The sequence below is a fragment of the Homo sapiens genome, chromosome 11 (assembly GCF_000001405.40).
Source record: "Homo sapiens chromosome 11, GRCh38.p14 Primary Assembly".
NCBI lineage: Eukaryota > Metazoa > Chordata > Mammalia > Primates > Hominidae > Homo > Homo sapiens.
Window position 1 is genome coordinate 80360734 of NC_000011.10, and position 16853 is coordinate 80377586.

The following is a 16853-nucleotide window of genomic DNA, read 5'->3' on the forward strand; positions in this document are numbered from 1 at the left end:
TCAGAAAAAAGGATTCTTATTGTTCAGGCCTTGTTGGACAACAAAAAGTCTTCAAGTTAGTGTTTATCTTTTCCCTGAAAGGCTCAGGGGTAGCAGCTTTATAAATAAGAGAAGTCCTGATCATGAACCCAGCTGCATTGGCACAAAAGAATAGTGTTAGCCAATCCATTCCTGCTTTAAATCCTGGTGCTTGCATTTTTTCTTTCCTAATAAATGTCATTTGTGGCATTTTTTTTTTTCCAGATGGGCACTTTTGTCCACATTAAAACCCTGTTCAGGCAGATATCTTTTCTCCTCAATGATTTTCTTCATGGTGTCCGAAAACTCTTCTGCTGCCTCTTGATCAGCAGAAGCTGCTTCTCCTGTTTGCCTTGACATTTTTTTAAAGGCAAATCTCTTTCCGAAATTTTCAAACCATCCTTTGCTGGCATTAAATTCTCTATCTTTAGATTCTCATCTTCCTTTTGCTTGAAGTTGTCATAAAATGACTTCACTTTTTCTCAAATCATATTAGAGTCTACAGGTATGCCTTTCTTAGAGCAATCTTGCACCTATATAAAAGCTGCATTTTCAACATGAAATAAAAAGTTATTTCACAGAAAGTGCAAGGTTTCTGTTACCTCCTGATGTAGCTGCAGTGACAGCTTCATGAATTTCTTTCCTTCTTTTTTTTCTTTCTTTCATTCTTTTTCTTTCTTCTTTTTTTTCACAATTTTCCTTATGCTTGATTCATTTATCTTGAAATAGTGGGTGACCACAGCTGCAGATCTCAGTCTCCAGTACACATGGAGCTATTTAACTTTTTTTTTATAATGTTATAACTTCACTCTGCTTCTTGGGAGCACTTCTAGCATTATTAACAACATTTTGTATAGGTCCCATGGTGTTCTTCAAGACTTACAGTATTGCACCAAACACAATGAAAATACAGAAAACCTTAACAGATCACCTTTTACTGTAATACACAATTTACTAAAGAGAGAAACTGCTTCTACAGAGGTGAAAAGCCTCTCATGGCATTTTTAGCTCATACTTGGAACATGTGAACTCATCACAATACCAACAGGAGGTAGCTCCAAAATTATTACAGTGGTACAGAATGTACTACAATTTATGTAGTTATGATTTGATACTGAATCTTTGTTTACGCTCCTGATTGCCAATGACATTATCTACAGTCTGTGTTTGTGTGCATAAGTTTTGATACATTTTAACTTTTGATAATAGATTTGTATATATATTATAGTAGTAACTGATATAATAGTATCTATGTATAATTTATGCACTCATGACACATCTTTTTTTATTTTTGTGATATTTCTAGACTCTCCAGTTAATCTGTGAATTTTTTTTTTTTTTTTCTGAGACAGAGTCTTGCTCTGCCACCCAGGCTGGAGTGCAGTGGCAAGATCTTGGCTCACTGCAAGCTCCGCCTCCTGGGTTCACACCATTCTCCTGCCTCAGTCTCCTGAGTAGCTGGGACTACAGACAACCGCCACCACGCCCGGCTAATTTTTTGTATTTCTAGTAGAGATGGGGTTTCACTGTGTTAGCCAGGATGGTCTTGTTCTCCTGACCTTGTGATCCACCCGCCTGAGCCTCCCAAAGTGCTGGGATTACAGGCATGAGCCACCTTGCCAGGCCAAATGTTTTCAAATTGTCACAAATCTCCAAAAATTTTTCCCATACATTTATTGAAAAGATCTGTGTGTGAATGGACTCACATAGTTCAAACCCGTGTTGTTCGAGGGTCAATTATAGTTTTAACATATGAATTTAGGGGGAGGGAGAGACACAAACATTCTATGAAAGCAAGTCTTAATCTCTTAGATCTTGAGAAATATAAAAAGTAGCGCATTTTGCCATTGTGACTTTCCAAGGACGTTGAAAAAGTTGTCACACAGGGTCAAGTGGGAGACTACATTTTGACCAAAAATAAAGCAAATGGGACCCAGAGTTTTCCCATATGGAGAGGCAGTGTTGTGTAATGGATAGAACCTAAGCATCAGAGCATGAGTCATCCCATTCCTCACTCTGCACAGAGGCTTTTGGCCGCAAAGGAGATGGATGAAGATTCAGGACCACACCCTGTTCCTTTTCTTTTGCCTTCCCTCCTATGCTCCGCCCCGACTAGCATGATTCTATATTTCCAACTGTTCACCGTTGTTACCAAAATTTCCAATTATAGCTTTGTTGGAGTACCTGAAATCTCCCCTCCTACTAATATAAATCTAGCTGTGGGACTGGAGAAGTTGCTTTGCCTTTCAGGCCTCAGATTTCTCATTTATGAAATAGAGGTTTTAGAACAGATGGTTCTTTCTAGCCTTATGATGTTATGAATAAAGATTCCTATTCCTCAAAATCCATTCCTTTTAGATCTTTGATTTTCGAGGATTTCAGTATGAGAGAAGGTTTTGCACCATAATCAGCATGCCATGGGCTCAGATTTCTCATGTGTAGTTTTCAAATGGTCAGAATGAGAAATGCTGTAGCGTATTTATAAACTAAAGACTAATGTGACATTAAATACTAAAAATGCAATGCCATGCTAGACGTGATGGCTGAATATTCATTAGGCAGAACATTTTTATGTCAAAATTAAATGAGTAAAGATGTTCAAAATGCTTTAATTTGTGGCTGATTTTAACCACAAATTATTGTTGCAAAATTTGGTTGAACAATTCCCAAGTCCTTTCTCTGACAGGTTTTTTTTTTTAATAGTATTAAACATACATACATACAACCTAAAGTTAATAGACCTCTTTCTTTTTGAAGCGGAGAACTTTCAAAGAACTACTCTCCCCTTTACACAAGTTTGCTCATCAAAATCTGTTTTTCTTTGATCTTAGACTTCGGCAATTCATCAACAAACGGAGTACTACAGTCTTTATGACATGATGAAATTCTTCTCAATCTATGACAACTTTCTAGGATAGATGTACAAAAGGGAAGAGCAATTATCAGTCACTCAGTATGTGCTTAGGACAGCAACAGGCTCACAGGCCTTCACTGAAAGAAAGCTTGTGAAGGGGATGCATGAATGAATGAATGGATGCACAATAAGGGTAACTGAAGATCTCCCATTTAATGCTCAGTCCTCCAGGACAGCCACTGCAGCACCCACACTATGATTAAGTTTTTAGAAAAAGTACCTGATATAGTTTGGTTGTTTGTTCCCAAATCCCATGTTGAAATGTAATTCCCAACGTTGGAGGTGGGGCCTGGTGGGAGGTGTTTGGATCATGGGCATGGGTCTCTCATGAATGGCTTGAGCCATCACACTGGTGATAAGTGAGCTCTTGCTGAGTTCACACGAGATCTGGGCCTTTAAAAGTATGTGGAACCTCCCTACCATTCTCTCTCTCTTTCCTTTTCTTGTTCCCGCTCTGCCATGTAAGATGCCTATTCCCACTTTGCCTTCTGCCATGAATAAAAATTCTCAGAGGCCTCCCCAGAAGCTGAGGAGATGCCAGTGACATGCCTGTACAGCCTGCATAACTGTGAGCCAATTAAACTTCTTTTCTTTCTAAATGACCCAGTCTCAAGTATTTATTTATTTATAGCAGTGCAAAAGGCCTAACGCAGTATCCAAGGTCCCAGAGTTTATAAGTGGTGGAGTAAAGATTTAAATGGACAGGGCCAGGGGCACTGTGGCTCACACCTGTAATCCCAGCACGTTGGGAGGCCCAGGTGAGTGGATCATGAGGTCAGGAGTTTGAGACCAGCCTGGCCAATATGGTGAAACTCCGTCTCTACTAAAAATACAAAAATTAGCCAGGTGTGGTGGTGCATGTCTATAGCCCCAGCTACTCGGGAGGCTGAGGCAGAAGAATCGCTTGAACGTGGGAGGTGGAGGTTGCAGTGAGCCAAGATTGTGCCACTGTACTCCAGCCTGGGTGACAGAACGAGACTCCATCTCAAAATAAATAAATAAATAAATAATAAAAAAATTTAAATGGACAGAAAGCTCATTTTTGAGCAAAAATGAATGTAACTTAAAAATGTTTTCTCATGACATAAATATATTATTGTATTTTCATTTACTCAACTGGGGGAATTATATGCCTATAGATAATACGACAGCATATAAAGGATGCAGTGTTTAGAATTAGAGAGGTAAATTTAACTTCTGCTATTTAGTAGTTGTGTAACTGTAGTTGAGTTCATTAACACCAAGGCTTAGTTTCTTTATATACAATATAATGACCATATTACCTAGAAGGGTTGTTCTAAGGATTAGACAGAATATGTACCGAGTGCCCCCATATATCAGATGTGTCCTGATGTTCAACAGATGGCAGACGGTATTACTATTATAGGTGCTGATTAAATATTTCATGAATAGTAGCATTGATTATAAAAACATTTGAACAGCTCAGTGCCTTTTCAACTTCTAAAAAAGTGAAAAAACACACAAAGCATTTTGAAATCTCTAATGAGCAAATGGAAATGTAAAGTTTTGGCACTAAAAAGTCATTACTGTAAGAGAGGTAATTACTAGTGTGAGCTGTCTGTAGTATCACTGGCTTGACTCCTAATTTTGTTTGAGACAAAGGTCTTAGCAATGCCTAATCAGTTAAACTCCTAAAAGAAAAGAGATTTTGCTTGAGCTGTACTCATTCATCCTTTTCTTACTACTGAAGCGAAGTTCCTTGTTGTAGCTCTAAAGAATTACACACACAGTTTCTGAACCTCCCAGGTGACACTTGTTATGTGCTTACCAGTCACTAAGTGAATAACATAACTCACCTTTTTGGTTTCTGTATCAGCTCTTTCAATTACAACACTGATGTGCTAGGCCTGCCTGTGTGACTGTATGTTGTTGCTAATGGAGTTTTCTCTGCTTACTTTGCAGAAATGGAAAGCTGTTTTGGTTTCATTTCTTATACAGTGTAGCTAGTTAGCCTTCGGTCTCTCTTTATACATATAAACACTAAAATATGACTACTTGATGGTGTTGCCAATCCAAATGTTATAACTGGTATGAATGTGTAGACTGATTCTATTTAAAAGTAGATAGAAGTAAAAAACTTAAACTCTTTTGCCTGATACTTGAGGGTGACACATGCTGGGACAGGGAGGGGAAAGCAACACGTTTATGGAGAGTATAATGGAGAGTAGCAGACACATTTTTACCCAGGACCAAAATCCTGGGTAAAAATTTTAGTTAAGTACGCTACCATCATCTTCCTTGTCCTCATCATAACAATAACACTAATAAATACAATAAGAAACAAAATAACAGCTATACCCTTTGCATAGGTACTGTACTAGCCATTTTAGTGTTTTGTATCACCTGAAATTTACAACAATATTATGAGGAACATATTATTGCCTTCTTTTGGGATCAAAAATGGAGTGTTGGATGACTGTATTATGATGTAGTTCTCTCAAGTTGCAAGTTGCAGAACTGTGATTCACACATAGGAGGTTTAACCCCAAATTCTTGCTCCTTTTACCACGTCACTGTACATTCCCACTCAGACCCTACACTGTAATCATGTTCAGGTCACATAAACTTCATGAACCTCTGTTTCCTTATCTGTATAGTGGTCATAATCATGATAACCAGGTCACATTATTTGAAGATCAATTATAATAATATATAAAGATATGCCTTATCTTTTATAGTGTGCTGTGTAATGGTTGGATTATCTCTCCTTGCAATACCACTACTATCATTTTCACAGCAACAATAGCAAAAACAAGGTCCCCTCCAGTGAGACACAAAAAGTAAAAGAAATTCAAACTGAGTCTATCTGCAAGATAGGTGACCTGTTTCCTACAACAGAGTACATCAAGCTTGCCCTCAATGTTCCTTTACTGTCCCCCTGCTACTTAATACAAGCCCCAGATTGGTGCTGCCCCATGGAAGAAACCTAAGGAAGAAAAAGTGCTTAATGTCAAGACTGCCGTGGATGGAAACACACTAGAGAGTAAGTCTTAGAAATTGAGCATTTTTCCTGATTTTATGCTAGGCTTCTCAGCAAAGGGATCTTGGATGCATCTCTATAACATGTGTTGGAAGGAGTAGAAGATTCCGTTTAGAAAAGATGGGATTAGACTCATTGCAAGGACATCTGAAGCAGACAAAGAGTGATCCTATTGCATATGCTCCATTTCCCACAGTCTTCTCTGCAAATTTTATTTTTTTATTTCCAAGTTTATTTTATTTTATTTTATTATTTTATTTTATTGGGGAACAAGTGGTGCTTGGTTATGAGTCGGTTCTTCAGTGGCAACTTTAAGTCACTGTTTCTCAACTCTAATCTGACCATTGTGTACTCTAACTGGTGATGCCGAGACCAGCTCTCTTCAAACAATTTTATTTTTTATTTTTTGCCAGCAGCTCCCTGTTAAGATGTGACAGCTGGGGGTGTTAGAAGGAGACCAAAATATTAGAGGGGAAGAAAAGAGACTGGGAGAGATTTGCTTCCTCATGCCTCCTCTCTGCTGCCGCACAAACTCTAGCTACTTTTCACATTGTCAGCAGCAGTTTCCCCCTAGAAGAGCAGCTAAATCCAGTCTGCAGTTTTTTCAACACTTGCAGAAACAGCTTTGTCCTGCCCCCTTCATATATCCCAGCATTAGCCAACCAGAACGTTTTCCTCATGGCTCAGGGTTTCACCCCACTGGAGTCTTCCTTTGAGCCCAGAGACCTCGAACCCAGCAGAGCAGTGCTCCTTCCTCAAAGGTCTGAGTTTCAGCTCCATACTGCCTCTCCTCTGAGCTTTTAAGGATTCATAATTTCAAATTCTTCCCTTCCCTTTCTGTAGTTGCTACCTCCATAATACCTTAATGTTTTCCTCTTACCTTTTCAGTTATCTCATTAACAACTGTATACCTAGTTAATGATTTTTTAATATTGAGTATTCTCTGCTCCAATAACTGGTATGGGTTTATCTCCTGCCGGTGCCCTGTGTATATACCTTCCCACCTGGCATTTAAGTCAGATAACAAGACTAATGGGTGTGACCTTTGGCAGGAAGGCAGTGAGAACATTAAATTCTGATGGCTGAAAAGATTGTGAGTCTTTGGGAAATGGAGAAGGTTGTCATTTATTGAGAAGTTACTATGTGCAAGCACTGTGCTAATCATGTTGTCTCTAAAACACATTGTCTCTAAAACCTCACAATATTAAATTAATAGTATGAAAAGACTCATAATCTTTTTATAAATGAAAGAGGTTGAATTATTTACCCAAAGCTATACCAGGGGCAGAATTGAGATCCAGATTCAGGTTTTGTCGATGATGCCATCTAGTCTCAATCAAGAAAGGTACAAGTAAACCTCCAAGGTTCATTCAGTTTTGTTGCTATTCTTCAGAGGAGAGAGGGAGACAGGTAAAACATTTTTTTTTTTTTAAATTTAGGAGCAAAGATTGTTTATGTACATTGGTCTGTTTGCTCAGAAACAATCAAAACAGACAAAGTCCTAGGCTGGGATTTCCAATGAGCCTGCTGTAATTATTCCCTTAACAGGAATTGGTCATAACGTAGGAAATACCAATTATCCAACTCCCTATCACCTACTACCATAATCCCCTAGGAAAAACAAAACTAAACTAATATTTTTTAAAAGAAGGTATGTACCTATAATGTCTGCCTACTTCTGGACTGTCCTGTGCCCAAAATCTGTGTCCCTGGAATTTTTAAGGGTCTCATGTTTATTTTGATTAACACTCAGGAGTGGAGGTCATGATTATTACAAATGAGATAAGTTTGTGGGATTTTTTTCACCAATGCAGTCATCCACTTAGTCAACCTATTTTCAGGGAAAATCCTTCTAGCAATCAGGCATTTTTCTATCACTGGGGATCCAGAGATGATTGGAATATGGCCAGTGTCCACAAGGAACTCCTAGTTTATTGGCAGGGATACATCTAAAGACAGATAATTACAGTGCAGAGTAAGAAGTATAACATTAGAGGGAACTAGTGAAAACAATGGAGGCATAGTGCAGAGCTTCCTAGATGATGGGGTACGGTACACATGTAGGATGCAGCTGCATGACAGTGGGCTCAGCTACTAATCCTCTTAGCTCTTGAGGTGTGTAGCTAGTACTTGGAATGGCCAGAGCTGCAGCTGGTCACCCCTAGCTAGAAGCTGCATTCTATTTGCACCATGTATTGTAATAACACTTTGCATGTGTGTCACAATGAAGAAAATGTTGGAAGGCATTGATATACCAAAGGAAATGGCCAACCCCAGGGCCAGTAAGAGGGAATTTTTAGAAAATGTGATATGTGGGCCGGACACAGCGGCTCACGCCTGTAATCCCAGCACTTTAGGAGGCTGAGGCGGGCAGATTACGTACGAGGTCAGAGGATCGAGACCATCCTGGCTAACACGGTGAAACCCCGTCTCTACTAAAAATACAAAAAATTAACCAGGTGTCGTTGTGGCAGCCTGTAGTCCCAGCTACTTAGGAGGCTGAGGCAGGAGAATGGCATGAACCCGGGAGGCGGAGCTTGCAGTGAGCCGAGATTACTCCACTGCACTCCAGCCTGGGCGACAGAGCAAGACTCCATCAAAAAAAAAAAAAAAAAAAAAAAAAAGAAAAAAAAAAGAAAAAAGAAAGAAAATGTGATATGTGGCTGGATATTAGCATCTGATTAGAGGTTATGTACTGGGGCATTCAACACAGAGAGTACACCTTGTATAAACATACACATATGAAAGCAAGAGTTGTGTCCTGGAAACTATGGTAAGTCTGCGCAATAGGGAAAGGTGGAGAAGAGGTATACAACAAACCCAAAGAGGTAGGAAAGAACTAGATCCTGATACAAAGCTCAGATTTATGTTCTCTGTCATAAGATTATTAGACAATGTTGAGTATTTCACTCTTTTTTTAAAAAATATCTCGGACTAATTTTGGACCTACACAAAAGTTACAGAACTATTACAGCATGTTCTTGTTTTTCTCTATTTATTCTGATGTTAATATCTTATGTAACCATAGTACAATAATCAAGAATGAGATACTATCATTGATACGATATTATTAAAATACAGACCGTTTCCAAAATTCACTAGTTTTTCCAGTAAGGCCTTTTTCTCTTACAGGATTTTATTAAATGTCTCACATTGTATTTAGTTGTTATTTTGCCTTTATTTCTTCCAATCTATAATAGATTCTTAGTCTTTCATCATCTTTTATAATCTCGACACTTTTGAAAAATATTGGTATTTTATGGAATGATTCTCAGTTGGATTTGTCTGATGTTTTCTGAAGTGAAGCTATACTTTTTTTTATCAAAAATAATGGTGTGCCCTTTTCATATTAGGAGGTTCATGATATTGTTATATTTTACTAATGGTGATATTAACCTTGATCAGCTGGTTAAATTGGTGTCTTCTGAATTTCTCCACTATAAAGTTACTGTTTGTTTTTGTTTTGTTTTGTTGTTATTTTTTAAGTTGGTAACTATCATGGAGAGATACTTTGGGATGATGAAAATTCTATTTCTATTCAAACTTTCACCCAAGAATTTTACTACCCATTGGTAGAGTTTTCTACAACATTTGTTAGAGATGTTTACCTAATGCTGATTATCTTCCCTTCTTTCCTTTTTTCTGCATTTTTAATAAGAATTCTATTGTGAAGAAAAGCTGAGTAGGACAATAATGTTATCTTATAAAATAATAACATCTTATAGACAAATAACACATCAGAGGCTGAATTGGAAGTGGTGATTGTGGAGGTGTGTACTTTAGTGACCAACTTTGGAGCAAAGGAAGAGAAAAAGCAAGGCATTAGGAAGGCTTTTGCTCTATGTAGCTGAGGCTGTGGGAAACTCAAACAGAGATTCAGGAAAAGGGACAAGTCTGGGGAAGTATACCCTGATCTTTAAGAGGCAGATGCATTCAAAGCTCTAAACTCTTTTTTTTTTTTTTTTTTTTTTGATACAGAATTTCACACTGTTGCCCAGGCTGAAGTGTAATGGCGCGATCTCAGTTCACCGCAACCTCCACCTCCCAGGTTCAAGTGATTCACCTTGCCTCAGCCTCCCATGTGGCTGGGATTACAGGCACCCGCCACCACACCTGGCTAATTTTTTTATATTGTATTTTGTATTTTTTTTTAGTAGAGACGGGGTTTCACCATATTGGCCAGGCTGGTCTTGAACTCCTAACTTCGTGATCCACCTGCCTCGGCCTCCCAAAGTGCTGGGATTACAGGTGTGAGCCACCACACCCAGCCCTGGTTTTTTTTTTCATAAATGTTTTTACCAATGAAAAAAGGAGATTAAAATATCTGTTGATGTTATCTTGAGAAGCAGAACAAAGAAAGAACAGATTAGTGAATTGTCTCAAGTGTAGAATCCATATAAACATGCAGTATTGTACTATTTGTCAGTTTCAACCTGCAGACTGCCCATAGTGTACAGGATAAAATAGAAATACATGCAGGCAGGACCCTTCTGATCTGACTCTTGCCCACCCTTGCAGCCTCATCTCTTGTCACGCTTTGCCATTTTAGATCCCATGTTTAAAGCCATATCAAACAACTGACAGTCCCCTCGATATGTTGTGACTTTTCACACTTCATGACTTCACAAAATTTGTCTTTTGGGTCCATCTCTTCCCATCCTCCCACCAACCTAACCACATCCTCTGGCTGACTCCTACACCTTCTTTGAGATCCAAAGCATATGTGTCCTCCAAAGCTCTCCTGAAACCCTCAGGCAACCATGAATGGAACATGTATGTACTTCTGTTATTGTATTAAATACTCTGCATTACAATCATCAGTTCATATTTCATATAATTTAATGTCAATATTAAAAATGGCTTAGGTGTAATACCAATTAGTTGCTAATTATATGCCAGCATTTTACCTGTGTTATTTCTGTCTCCTATGAGGTGGTTACTATTGATTTTACTCACTTTATAAAGCAGAAAACAAGCTTAGAAATAAGAGGGAACTCGCCTGGGGTTACCCAGGTGGCAAGTGGTGTCCCAGGCATCTGGGTAGACAGGCCCAATATCAAACCACTATACTCTCTTACTCCTCTCTCTGACTCTTAAACTTCTGAAGGCACAGATAGTTTTTTGTTTTGTTTTGTGTCTTGATCCTCAGTTCACTGCATGAAGTGAGGAGCTGACAAGTAATAAAAGAGACTGGCATTTCTGGTTTGGCCTTTAGGGAGCTGAGTATGGGAGCAGGCACTTGGCCTTGCCATCTACCCTTACTACACAACCCCCTGCTTCTCACCAGTGTCTCAAGCCACCATAAAACCCTGTGTAAGAAAAGATGCAGGGAATATGTGTTTAGAGTCCCTCAGTTCACTTTCTCCACATACTGTCTTCAGGTCCATCCTGCCTGGCTTTATTTTGTGCACACAGCTGAGCAGGCCACATGTGTGGAAAAGGCTTATGATTGGAGTGAGCGAGGTGTCAGAACAAGATGAGCTTTGTGATCGCTCAGCTCTAGGGAGCGATTGTTGTTTTCAAGCCTTCACCCTCCCTCACACTTCGCACTCACTTTAATTGTGACCAATTTGGAAGTGCTATTTGCATCTGCTGGAATAAAATACGTACAGCTGTGGAAATAACAAAAAATGAAAACTCACTCTTAGTGGAGGTCGGGGGGGACCTTCATCAATTGCTACTGAGTACTTAAAATGAAAATGTTGCCTTTCCTAACAAACAGCACTGAGATTTTTCGGAGTGCAATTTTCTCTGCTCGTGCATATGTATGCAATAGATATCTTCAGATATACTTCTCCCCACGCTTTGGTTGGGGTTACAAACGCAGAAGTGGGCCTTCAAGACAGCCTTTTATTAGATCTAAAACCAGTGGGCTAAGTAGCACATCTTAAGTCATCATAAGATATAATTATTACTGAATTGAAAAGACACAAAACACCAAAAAAATTCTTAGAGTTGAGGATCAACCTAAATATTACTTCTTACTTCTCCTAATCCCCATTGTGCCAGATCAGTGCTTTGTATCTGGTAGATATTCAAGCACTATTTCCTGAGTCAATCGTAGGACACTCCAAACAATAAAATGTGAGAAGTCAGAAGGAAAGGGGAGGAAAAGGCACAGGACATGTATTCAGCCTCTACTACCTGCTGGATAATGTGCTTAAACCTCACAAAAACCTAAAGTGACTTTTTATTTTCATGTTATCAATAACGAGAACTCAAACTTAAAGAAACTAGTCTGTAAAGTTTTTAGAATTTTCACTCCTTGTTAAATCAAGGTAAGAAAACAGACTACATCCCACCACCCCTCTTCCCATGTGGGTCACATGGAAGCTGCCTCAAGTTGTCATTAAGGATGCTAGAGTTGGACCACCTGGGCCTGAATTCTGATTCCACCATTTGCTAGCCACATAGCTCTGGGCAAGATAAGTAAATTCTCTGGGCCTCAGTTTCCCCATGTGAAAAACTGGATTGATAATAATATCCATTTCATAGGGCTTTTGTGAGAACAAAATGAAATAACAATAAAGTCTTTAGAATAGTGTCTGGACATAGGCAGTACTTAATAACAGTACTAACTGCCATAGTTTGGCAAAAAAAAAAAAGACACTTAAGATTGGAATTTGTGTCTGATCCACATTAAATTCCTCTTTTCCCCACTTCATCAAGTAGCTTTCCTGAAAATTGAACCTTTAGGTATTCAGGTATTCACACTATCTTAAATTTTCTGTCGTTCTTTCCTTCCCTCCATCCTTCCTATCTCTTTTTTTTTTCTTTCCCTCCCTCCCAAACACATGGAATGGATAGGTACTCTTCTATGTACATACTGAGTTAGTTTCATTTTCAGAAACATTTTTAGAAACCAGTGCTCCCTCCTGATTCCAGTACTTTGCAAACACTGCTGCTTCTGACTTAGTCTTCCTGCATCACAGGCCCAAATTTTTGGGTCACCTATCTTCCTCCTGCATTCATCTTAGACTCAATGTCGCTTTTTCCAGGAAGCCTTGCTTGTCGCTACTGTTACCAATATCAACTCATTCCACTCTCACATCTTTCAAGACTTGAATGATTTGTGCTCCCTTGACCTTGATGGTTTTGAGTATTAGTTTTTCAATGGGCTTGTTTAGCATGTCTAGTCCTGCTTGGTAGAGGCCTCAGCTTGTTCTTTTTCATTTCTCCGAATTTTCTTGCTTGCCTCTAGGAAAGACCTGCATTCCATTTTGTTTCAATGACAGACCCTCAAAATTCAACTACAGATGTTAGATTCTACCGTGACTTGAATCCATCAACACCAATAAAGATAAACTCTTCAAAAATATCAAGTAAAGGGTATAAACAGACAAATCTACAAAAGGGTCCCATTTGTCTCTCCCTTGACCTTTAGGTGGATTACTTGAACGGTTTTCTGTTCTATGTGTCTGTGTGAGGGTAGGTATTACATACATATTTTTCACCCTTGTATTCCCCAGCTTGGAGGTCAATGCCTACTATTAGGTTGTAATTAATAAGTATTTGCTAAATAAATTTAGTAAGTTAAATAAGAATTAGTAATAAATGAATAAAGTTATTTTCCTCCTTCCAGTCTTGCTTTTTTTCTAATTTATTGTTTCTAATGTCTGCTGAAATGATCTCTCAAACTTATACTACATTTTCTTTCAAAAATTTCATTTCTTTTTCAAGACCTTCAAGGTGAAGTCACGGCATCCAACCAACTAGGATCATCATGATCTGTCCCTTGAATCAATTTTTTTATCTTTGTTCAGTTCTTCAAACATTATGCTCCAGCTATAATGAAATATTTTCATTTTTAGGAGTGTTTTCAGAAATTAACGCTTTCTTCTCACTCTGGTACTTTACAAATGCTCCTACTTCTAACTTAGTCATACTGCTACCATATGCCAAAATTTGTCTGGATATAACTTCATCCTTTAGGTCTTGGCCTAGGTGTTACCTCCTCCAAGAAAGCTTGTTGACTTTCCCAAAAACTTGTTGAAGTGCTTCTCCAGTGGTTTTCATAGACTGTATTATAAAGGCATCTTTGAGTATTTGTCTCTCTGACTTAATAGATAAATAAACAAATACAATTGATTATACTTCATTTATTCCTTTCTTTAGAAAATTGTCTATTGGATTATTGTTTTGTGACTACATTTATTCTCTTCTACTAACCTAAATGTTTAACGAGGACAGGATTTTTATCTTTTTAACCCTCTCATGACTAATGAGTCATTATTTAATTAGTCATAATTTCATAGTTGTAGTGTAATAAATATCTCAGTGTTTTTAATGTACGGAAAGGATGGCTCTTAGTAGTGTGTCAAACAAGTAGAATGATTCTTCATTCAGTCTTTATCCAGGGACTGTTGTATGCCAAGCACTGTGCTAGGTGAGAACAATATAATAGGTCAACAAGTACTCTATCCCGCAGGATACTACATTCTAGTGAAGGAGACACACTAGTCAATACACATAGCACGTTATAATTAAAAGTTGTGATTGGAGCTATAAAATAAAATCATCAATTTGGAGAATCAGAAGACAGAAGCAGAGGCTATAAGGAGAGTAGTTAGTTGAAAGGCTAGTGCTGAAGTCCAGGTGAGAGTGGGAAACAATTGACATAGCCTCTGTTAGTAAAAATGAAATGAAGTGGAAGGACTCAAGTGGTGGTTCATAGGGAAATTATTTGGATTTGGTTATAGATTGCATGTGAGGTGGTAAAGCTAAAGGGATCATCAGCACTGACTCCTAGGTTTCTGGATTGTCTGGTTGCAGGGATGGGTGACCCTTTCACTGGGCTAGACAGCAATGAAGGAGAGCCAAGTTTTTTAGGAAAAATGATGAGCTCGTGTTTGAACATTTTGAGCCTGAGATTTCTCTGATGAATCCAAAGACTAAAACAAGGTGATTGGATTTATAAGACTAAATGTGAGAAGAGAAAACACTAGGTTTCATATACACATTTGAGAATTGTTGGCATATAGATGATAACTGAAGCTATTGTCTGAATAAAATCGTGAAGGAAAAGAGCAGAGGGAAGACAAAGGAGCTTAAAAATGAGATCAACGGAGTAATAGCTGCTTAAGACAAAACCCTTAGGGATCATCTCTGATTTCTCCATCAGGAAGTCCTGTCTGTTCTAACTCTAAAACATGCTGACTAGCATTACTTCTCACCATTTTCTCATCTGCCTTCATCATCTAATTGATCTCTCCACTTCCATGAAGTCATCAGTAGTTCATTCCTTACAAAGAAGCCAGAATCATTTTTTTAAAAACATAGATCTGATCAAGTCATTTTCCTTTTGAAATTTTTCAGTTGCTTCCCAATCCCTTAGCCTGAATGTAAACTTTTAACCATGGCCTTCAAGACTTACTTGATTTGCCTCCGTGATATTTCATATTGATCTCATCCTTATCCACAATAGTCCAGTGATACTGGCCTCCTTGGTTTAAGTCAAATACAACAACTTGTATTTTCTAATTCCATTTTCCAAATTCCCATTCGCCATTCTCTCTGCTGGAAATTTTCTTCCCCCATCCTCTCATTGGACGGCTTCTTTTGGTGTCTGCTCAAATGTCACCTGAGAGAGGCTTTTTATTGACCCTTCATCTAAAATAGCAACACACACCCTTCAGTCAATTTATCCCCTTTAGTTTCTGCATAGCGTTTTATTTTACTCTCAATAATTACATTAACTTTTAAAATTCTTTTTCATAGTTTGTGTCCTCCACTAGACTGTAAGCAAATGAGAATATGTGCTCATTGCAACTGCCTCATTCTTTATTGTTTCCCTAGCTTCAAAAACAGTGGCTGGAGTAAATTATCTTTCAAAAGTGAATGCCTGAAGGAGTGAATAAGGGCCAAAACAGAGGGAATTCAGAGGACTAGGATTATTCCTAAATTCACCACTGTTCCTCTGAGTGATGCTAAGGGTGTCACTCCATCCTCTTGAGATTTCATTTTCTTATCTCCAAAATAAAGGGCCAACTTGTTTAACCTCTGAATTTGTGAGTGCCATTTTCTCAGTACTCAATATCCAAATTGCCTTCGTTCATTTGAAGAGAAGGCTAAAAAGCCGAAGAGCCATTGGATGGTGTATAAAATGGCAGATGCTTTTCATCACTGCTTATCCCTTTGTTATAAATAGTAAATAATATGGCTCTTAAGTGAGGCCAGATCCCACCTGCTGTGAACCACTCACCTATCTCTTCTGCTCTTTAAAGTACATTTATGCCACCATTACAGTCCTAGATCATTTTTTATATGGCTCTGTATTGCTCATACAGTTGAGTTTGGTGCTTTTGTATATTTTATGTCATTGATTAGTGGCCTTTTGTTTCAGCTTAAATAATTCCTTTTAGCAAGTCCTGTAAAGTAGGCCTAGTGGAAATGAACTCCCTTAGCTTTTGTTTGTCACTTACATGTGAAATCAAAAACAAACTCATAGATGCAGAGAGTAGAAGAGTGGCAACCAGAGGTTGGAGATTGCAGGGAATGGGGACATGTTGGTCAACAGGTAAAAAAAATCTCAGACAGAAGAAATATATATATTTTTTCTGAGATCTATTGCAGAGTATAGTGAATATAGTCAATAACACTGTATTGTACATTTCAAAATTTCTAAGAGTAAATTTCAGTGTTCTCACCACAAAAAGTGATAAATATTTGAGGTGCTAGATATGTTAATTAGCTTGATTTAATTATCTCACATTGTAGTCATAAATCATAACATCACTTGTACTGCATAAACATATACAATGATAATTTATCAATTTATAATCAAATTCTTTTAAAAGTACATTTATTTTCAGGATTATAAATATTTCCTCCTCTTTCTCCATCATCAACATCATCATCATTACCATCATCATCACAGGAACTAATATTCAGTGAAGGCTTCTTACATGCCAACCACCCTAC

General features: G+C 38.1%; 1 annotated feature.

Annotated features, from left to right (window-relative positions):
* Positions 4870-4939: an enhancer, noted in NCBI's record as "active region_5329". NCBI's record gives its function as "activates an Ori minimal core promoter by ATAC-STARR-seq in GM12878 lymphoblastoid cells {active_cell/tissue: GM12878}" and the evidence as "EXISTENCE:reporter gene assay evidence [ECO:0000049][PMID:35858748]".